Source organism: Homo sapiens, chromosome X, assembly GCF_000001405.40.
Source record: "Homo sapiens chromosome X, GRCh38.p14 Primary Assembly".
Lineage (NCBI taxonomy): Eukaryota > Metazoa > Chordata > Mammalia > Primates > Hominidae > Homo > Homo sapiens.
Window position 1 is genome coordinate 43,192,710 of NC_000023.11, and position 19,035 is coordinate 43,211,744.

At 40.0% G+C, this 19,035-nt stretch overlaps 1 long non-coding RNA gene across 1 annotated transcript in view; it reads left to right on the forward strand.

The window, feature by feature from the left end:
• Positions 1-19,035, forward strand: part of PINCR (p53-induced noncoding RNA) — a 49,605-nt gene that overhangs the window by 15,716 nt on the left and 14,854 nt on the right. Inside the window, exons 3-4 of the long non-coding RNA NR_110387.1 lie at positions 3,488-3,660; positions 4,607-4,666. This is a non-coding gene — a long non-coding RNA (p53-induced noncoding RNA). The remainder of the gene's footprint in view (positions 1-3,487; positions 3,661-4,606; positions 4,667-19,035) is intronic.

Here is a 19,035-nt window from a genome sequence, read left to right on the forward strand (position 1 = left end):
CTCAGCTCCTCTTTTCTTTCTAGGATTTATACATGCTTGGGAATGTCTGGAATCCTGAGGAGGCAGTCAGAGAAATATCTCCTTATGTGAGAGTTTGATTTGCCTCCTGGGAAGGACTTTCCATGAGGGAAAAAGAGTCAGATGGATAGAATATGGCCAAGGGCAGTGGACAGGATCTGAGGGAAAAGGACAATCTTATCACAATCCAAGAATAAAATCATATTGTTGGTATCTTTTGTGACCGTCTTCTTTAGCTTAACATTGTTTGTGACAGTTGGATATAGCCATTCTCCCTTCGTTTTCCTTTCTATACTTTCTGGATGCAACACAATTTGTTTGTCTAGTGTACCATTGAGTACATGTAGATTGTTTCCAAAAACAAAGTCAGTTATTTCAGTCCTGACTCAGTCCTCAAGTCCAGCTCCCAGGAACTCATGCATAAGCCTCATTATGAGGAGGCACTATTACAGGAGAAAGAAAGAGTTAATATGTAAGGACATTGGTGTGATAAGACATCAACCATGTTAGTTCCAGCATTTTTGTTGGTGATGCCAGATAGCATGGCATTGCTGGCTTATCTCTTCTAGCAATCCTAGGTGCTCTTTCTGTCACAATTTATAATCTGTTTATCTAAAGCCACCCCCTTTAACCTAGGAGACAAAATATGTTGTGTTCGGAAAATGCTCACTAAATCACAGTCCAAGATTGAGGGCCCTGAGGCAGCACCTCACAAGGATGCTATTAGAGGAGGCCTCAGTGATTTTGAAGATGAGGGCTGGGCACAGCCACCTCTGTTCAGACTTTGTGGGCATGTCAGTGGCAACAGGAGCAGCAGGTCCGTGTGAGTATGCACTGCTAGTTACCACCTTGTGCCTCATTTAACTGCTTGGAAAAAAAACAAAAGGGAGATGGAGTCAAGGGTAATAAGAAAAATACACAAAGTTTATAAAGTAATTAAGTATCAAACACTTGTTTAAAACTAGTAGGACACCTGAGTTCTGTTATTTTTATCACCTGTGTTAATAATAATAATCAAACAATGCCTACACCAAAGTACCCTACTATGGTCCCCCTTGCCATCACATTCTTCTCTCGTTCTCCCAGTGACAACCATGGTCTAGCCATCTGTGATGATTATTTTCTTCATTTTCTTTACAGATTTTCAACTTAAGTATGGATTCAAACTACATGACATAGTTTGGCTTGCCTTGCTTTTGAACTTTTACATGAATAAAATCATATTGTTAGTGTCTTTTGTGACTGTCTTCTTTAGCTTAACAATGCTTGTGACAGTTGGCTATAGCCATTCTCCCCTGGTTTTCCTTTTTGTATTTTCTGGATGCAACACAATTTGTTTGTCTAGTGTACTACTGAGTACACGTAGATTGTTTCCAGTTATTGGCTTTACGAACAATACTGCTTAAATAGTCTGTATTCAAGTGCACACATGAAAGAATTTCTCTCAGGTATATCACCAGTAGTCGGATACAATTTCAATTTTACTAGAGAATGCCGAATTGTTTCAAAAGTGGCTAGACCAATTTATCCTCCCTCCAGCAGTACCTGGGTATTCCTGTTGCTCCATGTCATCACCAGTCTGAATTGTCAGACTTTCAGTGTGTGTTAATCTGTTGAATATTGTGATGTTTAATGTTTATTTCCTTGATTACTAATTAGGTTATCAAATATATTTCTGAGTGCCTTGATTTGTATGCAATTGTAAATAGTATATATTATTTTGAGACAGGGTCTCACTCTGTTGCCCAGGCTGAGAGTCCAGTGGTGCAATCTTGGCTCACTGCAGCCTCTACCTCCTGAGTTCAAGTGATCCTCCCACCTCAGCCTCCCAAGTAGCTGAGACTACAGGCATGCACCACCACGCCCAAGCTAATTTTTGTATTTTTAGTAGAGACAAGGTTTCACCATGTTGTTCAGGCTAGTCTTGAACTCCTGATCTCACCTCAGCCTCCCAAAGTACTGGGATTACAGGTGTGAGCCACTGCACCTAGCCTGTAAATAGTATATTTATTTGAATTCTATTTTTCTATATCTCTAAGTGCTTTGATTTGTATGCTATTATAAGTGGTATCTTTATTTGAATTCCATTTTCTATTTTTTAAAAAATCAACTTTTGAGATATAATTTATATAATAAGATGCATCAGCTGGGCGTGGTGGCTCAAGCCTGTAATCCCAGCACGTTGGGAGGCTGAGGTGGGTGGATTACCTGAGGTCAGGAGTTCAACACCAGCCTGGCCAACATGGTGAAACCCTGTGTCTACTAAAAATATAAAAATCAGCCTGGCGTGGTGGCACGCGCCTGTAATCCCAGCTACTCAGGAGGCTGAGGCAAGAGAATCACTCGAACCCAGGAGGCGGAGGTTGCAGTGAGCTGAGATTGTGCCACTGCACTCCAGCCTGAGCGACAGAGTAAGACCTCGTCTCAAAAAATAAATAAATAAGTAAATAAGATGAATCCATTTTAAATGTTTTATTCAATGAGTTTTGACAAGTATATGCGCCCATGTAACCACTATCCCATTTCTATATAAATATTCTATAGAAATTCAGAACTTCTCTTATGCCCCTTTTCAAACATTCACCCTTAACTACCATCACTGTGCAACCACTAATCTGTTAGCTTTCACCAGCTTTAGATTAGTTTTGCCTGTTTAAGAATTTTATATAAATATAATCATACACTATGCCCTTGGGATAGCCAGTATCCAAGATGATCCAAAATTATCCCTGGCTTCTGGTATTCATATCTTTGTGTAGCCCCTTCCAACATTGTACCAGTGTTGGTCTGTGTGACCAATCACATACAGCAGAAGTGATTGTATATCACTCCTGAGATTAGGTTATTAAAACACAGTTGCTTCCATCTCAGTCTCTTTCACTCTCACTCTCTTGGATCACTTGTTCTTGGTGAAGCTATGCCCTGAGAAGCCCCATGGGGAGGCACATGTGGCAAGGAACTGAAGCCTACTGCCAATAGCCATATATGTAATTAAAAATGGAAGCAGATCCTTCACCCCTATCATGTCTCGGATGACTGAAATCTCTAGATGAACCTTCATTGCAACTTTATGAGAGACACTGAGTTAGAACCATCCAGCTAAGCCACTCCTAGACTCCTGACCCAGAGAAACTGAGATAATAAATGTTGCTTTAAGTCACTGAATGTCTGGGTAATATTATGCAGCAATATATAACTAATATGGCACTCTTGGATTTAGCTTCTTTCACTCAGGATAACATTTTTGAGATTCGGCAATGTTGTTTCATGTTTCAGGGGTTTATTCTTTTTATTCTTGAGTGATATTCCATTATATTACTGTAATAATATTTATTATCTAAATATTGCTCATCATGTAGTTCAGGACATGTTACTCCAAAATTTGACATTTTGTCTTACTGAATATTTTAAGCTGAAAAAACTTGAGAAATGGCATATGTGGTATGGACTTTCTGACTGTTTCCTGAAGCAGGTCACAAAACCCTCCTGTGAGAGGAACCCTCTGTGGAAGAACAGAATATGTCACCCCAAAATATGAAGAATTGTTGAGCTGAAGATGATTAAGAAGAAGCGGATGCAGGAAAGCTCTCTGCTCTCCCTCTATTTGCTTAAAAGCAGGATAAACACTTACAAAGACTAAAGGTATCCTTGCCTTCTGCCAGGAAGAAAAGGGTTAACTGCCAGAACAGCTTTAGACCCTCATTGGCCTGTAGATGGTACTAGAGAAATCTACATTAACAAGCTTTATTAATTCGCTTTTATCTGCCATTTATTTGCCCTCCCCCAAGTTACTGTCAAAGTCCTTTTCGTTTGTCTTGTCACTTCTCTAAAAATTGACTGTTCTTTATTGAAGATGCTATATAAGCTGTAATTTAAAGACATACTTCCATTTGTTTTTCTCCCGTTAATCTGTTTTTTGTTATAGGGGTCCATTCCAACTAAGAAACTATGGGGGACCAGGCATGGTGGCTCACGCCTATAATCCCAGCACTTTGGGAGGCCAAGGCCGGCAGATCACGAGGTCAGGAGATCGAGACCATCCTGGCCAACATGGTGAAACCCCATCTCTATTTAAAAAATACAAAAAATTAACTGGGTGTGGTGGCATGCACCTGTAGTCCCAGCTACTTGGGAGTCTGAAGCAGGGGAATCACTTGAACCCAGAAGGTGAAGGCTGCAGCAAGCCGAGATCGCACCACTGCACTCCAGCCTGGTGGACAGAGCAAGACTCCGTCTCAAAAAAAAAAAAAAAAAAAAGACTATGGGGTTATTTTCCCCCTTCACCTCCCTATATTCTAAGGAAAGAATCATTCTTATTTGTGAAGACAAAAGGACACAGAGGGAAATATGAACTAAATTTTTGCTGTGTCCTCCACTTTACTACCCTTAGCTCATACCCCCTTTGTCTTATATTTCTTTGTGACTCTCCACTCTTCATCAAATACAGTGTTAAAAACACTCAGGTTTAATCACTTATTTGGGTCTTCATTTCCTTATTAAAGCTCTCACGGCATGTAAAGCTTATATTTTTAAAATGTGTATGCTTCTCTTTTGTCTTTTATATGCTTTTCTCTGTCTTCTGTTACAGACGCCACAATCAAGAACTCAGAAGGGTAGAAGAAAAAGATAGTTTCCCTTCCCTACACAGGTAAATAGAAATGCAATTTTTTATATACATTTGTATTCTACAAACTTTCTGAACTCTTAATTCTAATAATTTAGCTATAGATTCTTCTTGATTTTCTTTCTTGTTTTTTCCTTCAACCTTTAAGCTCTGGGGTACGTGTGCAGGATATGCGGGTTTGTTACGTAGGTAAACGTATGCCATGGTGGTTTGCTGCACAGATTATCCCATCACCTAGGTATTAAGCCTAGCATGCATAAACTATTTTTCCTAATGCTCTCCCTCCCCATAACTCCCACCTTCGACAGGCCCCAGTGGTGGTGTTCCTCATTATGTGTCCATGTGATCTTGTCATTCAGCTCCCACTTATAAGTAAGAAAATGTGGTGTTTGGTTTTCTGTTCCTGCATTAGTTTGCTGAGGATAATGGCTTCCAATTCCATACATGTCCCTGCAAAGGACATGCTCTCATTTCTTTTTATGGGTGCATAGTATTCCATGGTGTGTATGTACCACATTTTCTTTATCCAATCTATCAATTCTGGGCATTCAGGTTGATTCCATGTCTTTGTTATTGTGAACAGTGCTGCAATGAACATATACGTGCATATATCTTTATAAGAGAATGATTTATATTCCTTTGGGTATATACCCAGTAATGGGATTGCTGGGTCAAATGGTATTTCTGTCTCTAGGTCTTTGAGGAATTGCCACCCTATTTTTGCACAACAGTTTTGCACAATAGTTGAACTAATTGGCCAGGTGTGGTGGCTCATGCCTGTAATCCCAGCACTTTGGGAGGCCAAGGCAGGCAGATCACGAGGTCAGGAGATTGAGACAATCATGCTAACACGGTGAAACCCTGTCTCTACTAAAAATACAAAAAATTAGCCGGGCATGGTGTCAGGCGCCTGTAGTCCCAGCTACTCAGGAGGCTGAGGCAGGAGAATGGCGTGAACCCAGGAGGCGGACTTTGCAGCGAGCCAAGATCGCCACTGCGCTCCAGCTTGGGTGACAGAGCGAGACTCTGTCTCAAAAAAAAAAAAAAAAAAGTTGAACTAATTTACACTCCCACCAACAGTGTAAAAGCATTCCTTTTTCTCCACAGCCTCTCTAGCATCTGTTGTTTTTGACTTTTTAATAATCACCATTCTGACTAGTGTGAGATGGTATCTCATTGTGGTTTTGATTTGCATTTCTTTAATGATCAGTGATGTTGAGCTTTTCTTAATGTTCGTTGGCCACATTTATGTCTTCTTTTGAGAAGTGTCTGTTTGTGTCCTTTGCCCACTTTTTAATGAGGTTGTTTTTTTTTCTTGTAAATTTAATTTCCTTGTAGACTCTAGATATTAGACCTTTGTCAGATGGATACATTGCAAAAATTTTCTCCCGTTTTGTAGGTTGTCTCTGCACTCTGATGATAATTTCTTTCGTTGTGCAGAAGCTCTTTAGTTTAATTACATTCCATTTGTCAATTTTTGCTTTTGTTGCAATTGCTTTTGGCATGTTGGTTATGAAATGTTTGCCCATTCTTCTGTCCTGAATGATATTGCCTAGATTTTCTTCTAGGGTTTTTATAGTTTGGGGTTTTACATTTCAGTCTTTAATCCATCTTGAATTAATTTTTGTATATGGTGTAAGGAAGGGGTCCAGTTTCAATTTTCTGCATATGGCTAGCCAGCTCTCTCAGCACCATTTATTAAATAGGGAGTACTTTCCCCATTGCTTGTTTTTGTCATGGGCAAAGATCAGATGGTTGTAAGTTTGCGGTTTTATTTCTGAGTTCTCTATTCTATTCCATCGGTCTATGTATCTGTTCTTGTGCCAGTACCATGCTGTTTGGGTTATAGTAACCTTGCAGTATAGTTTGAAGTCAGGTAGCATGATGCCGTCAGCTTTGTTCTTATTGCTTAGGATTATCTTGGCTATTTGGGCTCATTTTTTGATCTATATGAATTTTTAAATAGTTTTTTTCTAATTCTGTGAAGAATGTTGATGGTAGTTTAATGGGAATAACATTGAATCTATAAATTACTTTGGGCAGTATGGCCATTTTCACAATATTGATTTTTCCTATCCATGACCATGGATTGTTTCTCCATTTGACTGTATCCTCTCTGATTTCTGTGAGCAGTGGTTTGTAGTTCTCCTTGAAGAAGTTCTTCAATTTCCTTGTTAGCTGTATTCCTAGGTATTTTATTCTTTTTGTAGCCATTGTGGATGAGAATTCATTCATGATTTGGCTCTCTGCTTGCCTGTTGTTTGTGTATAGGAATGTTAGCGATTTTTGAACATTGATTTTGTATCTTGAGACTTTGCTGAAGTTACTTATTAGCTTAAGAAGCTTTTGGGCTGAGATGATGGGGTTTTCTACATATAGAATCATGTCATCTGCAAACGAAGATTTGACTTCCACTCTCCCCATTTGAATACCCTTTATTTCCTTCTTTTGCCTGATTGCCCTGACAAGAACTTCCAATACTATGTTGAATAGGAGTGGTGAGAGTGGGTATATTTGTCCTGTGCTGGTTTTCAAGGGGAATGATACCAGCTTTTTCCCATTCAATATGATATTGGCTATGGGTTTGTCATATATGGGTCTTATTATTTTGAGGTCTGTTCCTTCGATACCTAGTTTATTGAAAGTTTTTAACATGAAGATAGGTTGAATTTTATTGAAGGCCTTTTCTGCATCTATTGAGATAATGTGATTATTGCTTTAGTTCTGTTTAATGTGATGAATCACATTTATTCATTTGCATATGTTGAACCAACTTGGCATCCTGGGGGTGAAGCCAACCTGATCATGGTGTATAAGCTTTTTGATGTGCTGCTGGATTAAGTTTGCCAGTATTTTATTGAGGATTTTTGCATCAATATTCATCGAGGATATTGGCCTAAAATCTTTTTTCGTTATATCTGTGACATGTTGTGATATCAGGATGATGCTGGCCTCATAGAATGAGTTATGGAGGAGTCCCTTCTTTTCATTTTTTTGAAATCATGTCAGTAGGTATGGTATCAGATCTTCTTTGTACCTCTGACAGAATTCAGCTGTGAATATGTCAGGTCCTGGGCTTTTTTGGTTTGTTTGTTTGTTTTTGTTTTTGTTTTTTTTTGGTTGGTAGGCTATTTATTACTGCCTTAATTTCAAAACTCATTATTGGTCTATTCAGGGATTTAATTTCTTCCTGGTTCAGTCTGGGGAGGTTGTATGTGTCCAGGAATTTATCCATGTCTTCTAGATGTTCTAGTTTATGTGCACAGAGGTGTTTTTAGTATTCTCTAATGCTTGTTTGTATTTCTGTGGGGTCAGTGGTGATATCTCCTTTATCATTTCTGATTGCATTTATTTGATTCTTCTCTCATTTCTTCTTTATTAGTCTAGCTAATGGTCTATTTTATTGATTTTTTTTTTCAAAAAAAAAAAACAGTTCCTGGATTTGTTGATTTTTTGAACAGTTTTTTATGTCTCTATCTACCTCAGTTCAGTTCTGATCTTGTCTTCTGCTAGCTTTGGGGTTTGTTTGCTCTTGGTTCTCTAGCTGTTTTAGTTGAAATGTGAGGTTGTTAACTTGAGACTTTTCTAGCTTTTTGATGTGGGCATTTTAGCGCTATTAATTTTTCTCTTAACACTGCTTTAGTTGTGTCCCAGATATTCTGGTACATCATCTCTTTGTTCTCATTAGTTTCAAAGAACTTTTTGATTTCTGTCTTAATTTCTTTATTTACTCAGTGGTAATTCAGGAGCAGGTTGTTCAGTTTCCATGCAGTTTTGTAGTTTTGTGTGAATTTCTTAATCTTGAGTTCTAATTTGATTGTGTTGTCTGAAAGACTGTTATTTCAGTTCTTTTGCATTCATCGAGGAGTGTTTTACTTCCAATTATGCAATCAATTTCACAGCAGGTGCCATGTGGCTATGAGAATGTATATTCTGTTGCTTTTGGGTGGAGAGTTCTGTAGATATCTATCAGATCCACTTGATCCAGAGCTAAGTTTGTGTCCTGAATATCTTTGTTAATTTTCTCTCTCAGTGATCTGCCTGATATTGTCAGTGAGGTGTTGAAGTTTTCCACTATTATTTTGTGGGTGTCAAAGTCTCTTTGCAGGTCTCTAAGAACTTGCTTTATGAATCTGAATGCTCCTGTATTGAGTGCATATTTAGGATAGCTAGCTCTTCTTGTTGAATTGAACCCTTTACCATTATGTAATGCCCTTGTTTGTCTTTTTTGATCTTTGTTGGTTCAAATTCTCTTTTGTCAAAAACCAGGATTGCAACCCCTGCTTTTTTCTGTTTTCCATTTTCTTGGTAAATTTTCCTTCATCTCTTTATTTTGAGCCTATGTGTGTCTTTGCATGTGAGATGGGTCTCTTGAAGACAGCATACCAGTGGGTCTTGGCTCTTTATCCAGCTTGCCATTCTGTGTCTTTTAATTGGGGCATTTAGAACATTTACATTTAAGGTTAGCATTGTTATGTGTAAATTTAATTGTCATCCTGATGCTAGCTGGTTATTTTGTCAACTTGCTTATGTGGCTGCTTCACTGTGTCACTGGTCTGTGTGCTTCAGTGTGTTTTTGTAGTGGCTGGTAATGGTTTTTCCTTTCCATATTTAGTGCTTCCTTCAGGAGCTTTTGCAAGGCAGGCCTAATGGTGATGAATTTCCTAAACATTTGCTTGTCTGAAAAGGATCTTATTTCTCCTTTGCTTATGAAGATTAGTTTTGCCAGATATTAAATTCTGCATTGGAAATACTTTTCTTTAAGAATGTTGAATATTGGCCCCCTGTCTTCTTGTAGGGCTTCCACTGAGAGGTCTGCTATTAGTCTGATGGGTTTCCCTTTGTAGGTGACCTGGCCTTTCTTTCTGAATTGCCTTAACATTTTTTTTTCCTTTCATTTTGACCTTGGAAAATCTGCAGATTATCTGTCTTGGGATTGATCTTTTCATGGAGTTTCTTACTTGGGTTCTCTGTATTTCCTGAATTTGAATGTTGGCCTGTATTTCTAGGTTGGGGAAGTTCTCCTGGCTGATATCCTGAAGTGTTTTTCAACTTGATTCCATTTTTCAAGTCTCCTTAGTGTACCCCAATGAGTAGTAGGTTTGGTCTCTTTACATAATCCCATATTTCTCAGAGGTTTTGTTCATTCCTTTTCATTCATTTTTTTTAATTATTTTTGTCTGCTTGTCCTATTTCAGAAAGATAGTCTTCAAACTCCAAGACTCTTTCCTCCACTTGATCTATTCTGCTATTGAAACTTGTGATTGCATTGTGAAGTTCTCATGTTTTTCAGCTCTATCAAGTCGGTTATGTTTTTCTCTAAACTGGCTATTCTGGCTATCAGCTCCTGTATTGTTTTATCAAGATTCTTGGCTTCTTTGCATTGGGTTACAACATGCTCCTTTAGCTCAGCAAAGTTTGTTATTGCCCACCTTCTGAAGCTTACTTCTGTCAATTCAGTCTTTTTAGCCTCAACCCCAGCTCTGTAGCCTTGCTGGAGAGGTGTTGTGGTCATTTGGAGGAGAAGAAGCACTCTGGCTTTTTTATTTTTCAGTGTTTTTGCATTGATTCTTTCTCATCTTTGTGAACTTATTTACCTTCGTTCTTTAAGGTTGTTGACCTTTGAGTGAGGTTTCTGTGGGGTCTTTTTTGTTGATATTGTTGTTTTCTGTTTGTTTGTTTGTTTGTTTTTTAACTGTCAGGTCACTCTACTGTAGGGCTGCTGTTGTTTGCTAGGAGTTCACTCCAGACCCTAGTTGCCTTGGTTTTTCCCATACCTGGAGGTTTCACCAGTGAAGGCTGTGAAACTGCAAAGGTGGTAGCCAGCTCCTTCCTCTGGAAACCTTGTCCCAGGGGTGTACTGATCTGTCACCACCCTGAACGCACCTGTAGGAGGTGGCTGGACACCCCAATTGAGAGGTCTCATCCAGTCAGGAAGAACAAGATCAGAAACCCACTTGAAGAAGCAGTCTGGCTGCTTTTTGGTAGAGCAAGTGTACCATGTTTTGGGGGACCCTTCCTCATCCAGACCATTTGTATTCTCCAATGCCAGCAGGCTGGAATGGCTGAGGTAGCCAAATTGCAGAGGTAGTGGCGGCCCCTCGTGCTGGGAGCTCTGTCCCAGAGATAAGAACTCTGTCCATAGAACCCTGGCTGGAGTGGCTGAAGCCCCCACAGGGAGGTCTTGCCCAGTGAGGAGGAATGGATTGAGGTCCCATTTAAAGAAGCAGTCTGGCCACAATCTGGCAAAACAGCTGTACTGCATTGTAAGGGACTCTTCCTCATCTGGACCATTTGTATTCTCCAAAGCTAGCAGGCTGGAACAGCTGAGACTACCAAACCACAGAGATGGCAGCTGCCCCTCCCCCTGGGAACTCAGGCCCATCTCAGGCGATTCCAGCTTGTTCCCATTGGCTGGCTGGAATTCCAAGCCAGTGGGTCTTAACTTATGACATGTCATGGAAATGGGGCCCAGAGAAAGATGCTGCTTGGCTCCCTGGATTCAGCCCCCTTTCTAGGGATATGTATGGACAGATTTCCCACCTTGCCAGGGATCCCAGGGCCAGAGTATGTAAAACTCCTGTGTCTTTGTGTATGCCTAAGCAGCTGCTCTGCTGAGACTCCACACAGCTCTGTGTATCTGACCCAAGGCCCTGGTGGCATGAGCTCTTGAGGGGGTCTCCTGACCTGCAGGTGGCAAAGATCTGTAGGAAAAGTGTGGTTTCTCAGGTGGGGTTGCACTATCAGTCACTGCCTCCCTTGGCTTGGGTGGGGGTTCCTTTGGCTCTGTGCCACTCCCAGGTGGGCCATCACCCTGCTCCCTGCTTTTCTTCATTCTCTGTGGGTCGAGTTGTTTGCCTGGTCAGTCCCAAAGTGAGAACCTGGCTATTTCAGTTGAAGATGCTGGATTCACTCACCCCTTTTAATTTCTTTCTGCAAGTGCTGCATACTGCAGCTGTTTCTAATCCTTTTCTTGATTTTCTAAATGTACATTGTGTCATCCATGAAAAATGATAGTATGATTCTTCCTTTCCTAGACCAATGGCTTTTATTTCTTTTTCTTGTTCTGTTTCACTGACCAAGGCATCTGATAAAATAAAGGATGGATGTAATGATAGGAGATATCCTTGTCTTACTTCTGATACCAAGGATAAAGTTGGAACCTGAATTTACCATTGAGTATGATTTAGGTTTGCTCTTATTCAGTAAAAATGTTTCAAAAATGCATTTGCTCTTGTTCAGTAAAGATGATTAAAAAAAGATAACGGATGTTAAATAGCATTGATTTTTCCAAATCTATCGAGGTGAGTATATATACAATATATGTGTGTGTATACATACATATATATCCTTTTTAATATGTTAATGTGGTGGATTATATAAATTGGTTTCTCATGTTTTACTGTACTTTCATTCCTGGGATATAAACACTATAGGCTGATGTAGTGTATTTTCAAATATTGTTTGATCGAATGTAATATTTTGTCCAGGATATTTGTATCTATATTAATGAATAAGATTTACCTTTAATTATTATTTCTTGTATTTCCTTTGAATTATCTTAGAAATCAAGGTTATACTAGCCTTATAAGGTAATTCAGAGTATATTCCCCCATTTGTTTTATTGGCATAATTTTTTTTTAACATTGAAGTTGAGGGGTACATGTGCAGATTTGTCATATAGGTAAACTTATGTCATGGGGGTTTGCTGTACAGATTACTTCATCACCCAGGTATTAAGCCTAGTACTCATCAGTTATTTTTCCTGATCCTTTCCCTCCTCCCACCCTCCACCCTCCAATAGACCCCAGTGTGTGTTGTTCCCCTCTATATGTCCATGTGTTCTTATCATTTAGCTCCCACTTGTAAGTGAGAACATGTAGTGTTTGGTTTTCTGTTCCTGCATTAGTTTGCTAAGGATAATGGCCTCCAGCTCCATCCATGCCTCTGCAAAGGACAAGATTCCATTCCTTTTTATGGCTTCATAGTATTCCATGGTGTATATGTACCACATTTTCTTTATCCAGTCTATCATCGATAGGTATTTAGGTTGATTCCATGTTTTTGCTATAGTGAATACTGTTGCAACAAAATTCTGTGTGCATGTGTCTTTCTGGTAAGATAATTTATATTCCTTTGGGTATATACCCAGTAATGGAATTGCTGGGTCAAATGATATTTCTGTCTTTAGTTCTTTGAGGAATCACCACACTGTCTTCCACAATGGTTGAGTTAATTTAAACTACTACCAACAGTGTATAAGTGTTCTTTTTTTTCTCCACAACCTTGCCAACATTTGTCATTTATTAACTTTTTATAATAGCCATTCTGACTGCTGTGACATGGTATCTTATTGTGGTTTTGATTTTCATTCTTTAATCAGTGATGTTGAGCATTTTTATCATATGATTGTTGGGGGCATGTATGTCTTCTTTTGTCTGTTCATGTCCTTTGCCCACATATTAATGGAGCTGTTTGTTTTTCTTGTGAATTTGTTTCAGTTCCTTATAGATGCTGGCTACTATACCTTTGTTGGATGCATAGTTTGCAAAAATTTTCTCCCATTCTATAGGTTGTTTGATTTCTCTGTTGATAGTTTCTTTTGCTGTGCAGAAGCTCTTTAGTTTAATTAGATCTCATTCGTCAATTTTTGCTTTTGTTGCAATTGCTTTTGGTGTTTTCATCATGAAATCTTTGCCTGTGCCTATGTCCTGAATTATATTGCCTAGATTTTCTTCTAGGGTTTCTATAATTTTGGGTTTTACATTTAAGTCTTTAATCCATCTTGAGTTAATTTTTGTATATGGTATAATTATGGGGTCCAGTTTTAATCCTTTGCATATGGCTAGCCAGTTATATTGTGATGAATTTGTAACAGATGAAAAAAAAAATTATTTGTTGACTATTTGTTAAAACTTCCCATTGAAGACACCTGAAACTGAATTCTTCAAATTTCTTGTCACTTATATTACTTTAATGGTTTTAGGAGACTTTCAGTTTTCTAGCTTTTCTGAAATATGCTTTGGAAAGTGTATTATTAAGGCTGTAAACAAATAGTTCAGTTCTCCTCCTTTGAGGTATCTGATAGAATTGCATTGTCCCATTGTCCTTGAAATTAGCTGCAGTCCTCTACCTGCCTGGGCCAATGAAATGTGAATAGAAGCAGTAACTGTGGTTCAGTCAGCAGAGAAATTTTGTATCTAAAAATATAAAAATAAAAATTATTTTTTAAAAGATGGTTTATAAGCTTTTGTACCTCCTTGGGGGGTTGGTTTTTCATTTCCGAAGGCTTTGTGTCATGTAAAACTCTTACTAAATAAATTCATTATCCTATGGTGTTCTTGTGATAGTGAGTGAACTCTCATGAGATCTGATGGTTTTTTAAGGGGCTTTCCCCTGCTTTGCTTGGCATTTCTCTCTCCTGTCACCATGTGAAGAAGGACATGTTTCCTTCCCCTTCTACCATGATTATAAGTTTACTGAGGTCTCCCCAGCCATGCAGAACCATGAGTCAATAGAACCTCTTTCCTTTATAAATTACCCAGTTTCAGGTATTTCTTCATAGCAGTGTGAGAATGGACTAATACATTTCCCTTTGCTGTTCTCGTCATAGTGAGTGAGTTCTCATGAGATCTAGTTGCTTGAAAGTGTGTAGCAGTTCCCCCTTCACTCTCTCTCCTGCTCCACCATATGAGGACAGTGCTTGCTTCTTATTTGCCTTCTGCCATGATTGTAAGCTTACTGAGGCCTTCCAGCCATGCTACCTGTACAGCCTGCAGAACTGTGAGTCAAATAAAACCCTTTTCTTTATAAATTACCCTGTCTCAGGTAGTTCATTATAGCAATGTGAGAATGGATTAATACAGAAAATTGGTACCAGAGAGGTAGGGCATTGCTATAAAGATACCTGAAAACGTAGAAGTGACTTGGATACTGGGTAACCAGCAGAGGTTGGAACAGTTTGGAGGACTCAGAAGAAGACAGGAAGATGAAAGAGAGTTTGGTATTCCTAGAGACTTGTTAAATTGTTGTGACCAAAATGCTGATAGTGATACAGACAGTAAAATCCAGGCTGAGGTCTCAGATTGACATGAGGAACTTATTGGGAACTGAAGTAAAAGTCACTCTTGCTATGCTTTAGCAAATAAACTTCTGGCATTGTGCCCTGCTCTAGGGATCTGTGGAGATTTGAACTTGAGAGAGATGATTTAGGGTATCTGGTGGGAGAAATTTATAAGCAGCAAAGCATTCAAGATGTGACTTGACTCCTTCTAATAGCATACATTCATGTGCATTTGTGAAAAGATGGTCTGAAATTGGAATTTTTATTAAAAAGCAAAGCAGAGCATGAAAATTTGGAAAATTTGCAGCCTGACCACGTGGTAGAAAAAAAAAAAAAACATTTTCTGGGGAGGCATTCAAGCCTGCTGCAAAAATTTGCATAAGCAAAGAGGAACCAAATGTTGATAGCCAAGACAATGGGGAAAATGCCTCTATGACATTTCAGAGATTTTTATGGCAGATCCTCTCATCACATGCCTGAAGGCCTAGAAGAAAACAAATGGTTTCCTAGAAGAAAAAAATGGTTCCTCTTATCACAGACCTGGAGGCCTAGAAGAAAAAAATGCACAGGCCCCTCTGCTCTGTGCAGGCAAACATGGTATTCTGCATTATGGCAGCTCCAGCTCCAGCCATGGCTAAAAAGGGCCAAGGTACAGCTTAAGACATTGCTTCCAAGGGTGCAAGCCCCAAGACTTGGTGGCTTCCATGTAGCCTTGGGCCTGTGGGTACACAAAGGGCAAGAGTTGAAACTTGGGAGCCTGTGCCTAGATTTCAGAGCATATATTGAAAGTCTGGATGTCCAGGCAGAAGTCTGCTGCAGGGGCAGAGTCCTCATGGACAACCTCTACTAGGTCACTGGGGAAGGGAAATGTGGGGTTGGAGCCCCCACACAAAGTCCCCACTGGGGCACTGCCTAGTGGAGCTGTGAGGAGAGGGCCGCTGTTCTCCTGACCCCAGAATGGTAAATCCACCTACAGCTTGCATCATGCACCTGGAAAAGATGAAGGCACTCAATGCTAGCCCATGAAAGCATCTGAGAGAGCTATACCCTGCAAAACCACAGAGGTATGGATGCCTAAAGCCTTAGGAGCCCACCGCTTTTATCAGTGTGGCCTGGATTTGAGACATAGAGTCAAAGGAGATAATTTCAGAGCTTTAAGATTTAATGATTTCCCTGTTGGGTTTTGGACTTGCATGGGTCCTGTAGCCCCTTTGTTTTGGCCAATTTCTCCCTTTTGGAACGGGAGAATTTACGCAATACCTGTATCCCATTGTATCTTGGAAGTAACTAACTTGTTTTTTATTTTACAAGCTCATAGGTGGAAGGGACTTGCCTTGTCTCAGATGAGACTTTGGTGTTGGACTTTTGAGTTATTGCTGGGATGAGTTAAGACTTTGAGGGACTGTTGGGAAGGCACGACTGTGTTCTGAAATGTGAGAAGGACATGAGATTTGAGAGGGGCCAGGAAGGGAATGATATGGTTTGGCTCTGTGTCACCACCCAAATCACATGTTGAATTGTAATCCTCAGTGTTGTGAGAGAGACCTAGTGGGAGGTCATTGGATCATGGGGGCAGATTTTCTCTTTGCTGTTTTCATAATAGTGAGTGAGTTCTCATCAGATCTGGTTGTTTGAAAATGTGAAGCACTTCCCCCTTTGTTCTCTCTCTCTCCCTGATCTGCCATGTGAGGACAACGCTTGCTTCCCCTTCACGTTCCACCATGATTGTAACCTGAGGGCTCCCAGCCATGCTACCTGTACAGCCTGCAGAACTTTGAGTCATTTAAACTTCTTTTCTTTATAAGTTACCCAGTTTCAGGTAGTTCTTTATAGGAATGTGAGAACAGACTAATACATAGTCATGAATTTAGCAATGAGTAAGGAAAAGTTATTACTTTTTGTCCCTTACAATAGTGATATATTTGTACAACATTTGGCCCAGAAAAATACAGTTCTTTTGGTATTTTCATGCTGATGAAGTTTATTTAATTGGACTATTTAATATTAGTATCATACGTGCTTTTCAATTTTAGATTGTGGAAATGGGCCATAAGTATTTTGAGGGCAGAACTATTTTCTTGCTTGATTCCCCACACAGAGTATTATGGACATTACAGAGTATTATGGACAGTTCCCAACTTACAATGGGTTCAACTTACAATTTTTCAACTTTACAACTTTACTACGATATGAAAGCCATACACATTCTTTATACTCCTTGACTTAGGATGTGGTTTATCTGCACATAACCTGATCATGAGTCGAAGAGCATCTGTACTCAACAGATATTTATTGAATAGATTAATAAAATTGGTGAAGTGTTGCATTATGCTTTTTCTGCTACCTCTACTGGCTACCATTGAGGTTTTTCTTTTTCTTTTGCGGAGGTAAAATTGTTTTCAAATATCTGTCTAAAATTATGCTTTCGTCTAATATAATCTAAGAGTTTTCTCTGTGGTGGAGGAATAATGTAAGCAGTTAAAACTCTTCAAAAGAGCAAAAAGCAGAGGCATTGTAGGTGTTCCTTGAAATTCTGATTAGCTGGGAAACTCCTGCAAGGAGATTGGGCTACTGAAAGAAGGACTCCTTGTCCTACCTCTCTTTGAATAATGTACATGAAAAGCATGTATGAAGGAGGGGAAGTATAATCTTAGAAAATATGCTGCTTCAATATTCGTTCTGTGATGAGCCATACAGCCATATAGTATCTTCACTATCTATACCATTTTTACAAAATGTATTCATTCAGCAAATGAACAGCAGGCATTTGGGCTTCCTTGGGAATATGTAAATAAATTAATTTTCTTTCCACAGGGTCCATGCATTCAGTGGAGTAATGATTCCTGTCCATGAAAAAAAAAAAAGAAAGTAGAAAATTTCAGAGAAGAGAAAAATTTTCCACTTGGGAGCAAGGGCATGAGGGCAGCGGGGAAGTGGTAGATATACTGACATGTTAATATATTAGGTCTTGTATTTCTTTTGTACATAGTCTTTCTTCTTTGACTGCCTCGTTCATGCATCTCCACTACTTGAAAAATTATTTAATTTACAAGCATGTGCCAAAGTCCTACATCATGCTTCCTCTAAGATTCTATGCAAGCCAATTCAAAGATTTCTCTCTTAAAAATATTTGTATGAAAAAAAGACATGGCTAGGAAATCACTGTTCAGTAGGATAAAATAAAAGTGCAAGCAAACAAGTGATAGAGAACCTCTGGTTAAAGAGCTTTACCCCCCTGACTGATGGACTGATATGGAAACGTAAGATGAAGAATTTCCTAGCAGTTGTGAATCTCATTTAGGTTTATCAGAAAATTGTGGAGCAGGGAGAGAGCCAAGATGGCTTACTAGATGCACCCACCAAGAGAGACAAGATCATCAGGTAGACAAACACACTCCAAACAGATCTTCAAAAATAAGGCATTGAGTGTGGACAGAGGGAAGATGCAGGCCCCAGGCTGAAAGTGAAGGAAGCTGGGGACCCTGCACAAGGTTGCCAAGCACCAGGACATGTTTCTGACACTAAGTGGCGCCTAGAGAAGGGATAAGTGAAATAGGCATAGAGTGGCCCACTCTTGCCATGAACCTCCAAGATCCCGGGTCCAGGAGACCCCATGACCCCCTTGGACATCTGGTCCAGCAGGGAGAACTGCCTTAAGAGTTGGCAGAGACAGAACTCCAGCCTGTGTGGAGTCCAGAGGGTTTGGTGCAGGAATGGCTGGCTGCAATGCAGCACAACCATGGGCACTCATCACTCAAGGCTCACCATATTCTTCTAGGTGGCTCTAGTCTGTTACCAGCTGCATCCAAACAGAGGAGGGTTGTCTTGCCCATGGGATGGAGGCAGTCTGACCTGAGTAACCCACTGTCTGCTGGCCTCTCCCAGGGTCCTTGCCTTGCAGCACCTGCTTGCAGGGCAGCCTCAGTTTGCCAGCAGCCACTGCCACAGCTCTTTTGCCAGCAAACCCCGCCTAACCATCCATGTGCTTTTACAGATTGACTCCCACAAGCACTCACTCACCTGCACATTTCACCCTGCCAGCATTTTTTTGCACCACCAGCAGCACTTCCCCACCAGCACACACTTATCCACAGCATCTCCCTGCTCCCTCACCAGCACACACATGGGTAGGGATCCCCACCACCCCACAAGCATGCACATGCAGGAGCCCCACAGGACCCACTATCATCTCTTCCAGGGCACATGCACACAGGGACCCCTTCCACATCCTGCCAGTGCATGCATGCACACACACACACACACACACACACACAGAGACCTGCCACTGCCCTGGTGGCATGCATACACATGGGGACCTCTCACTGCCTCA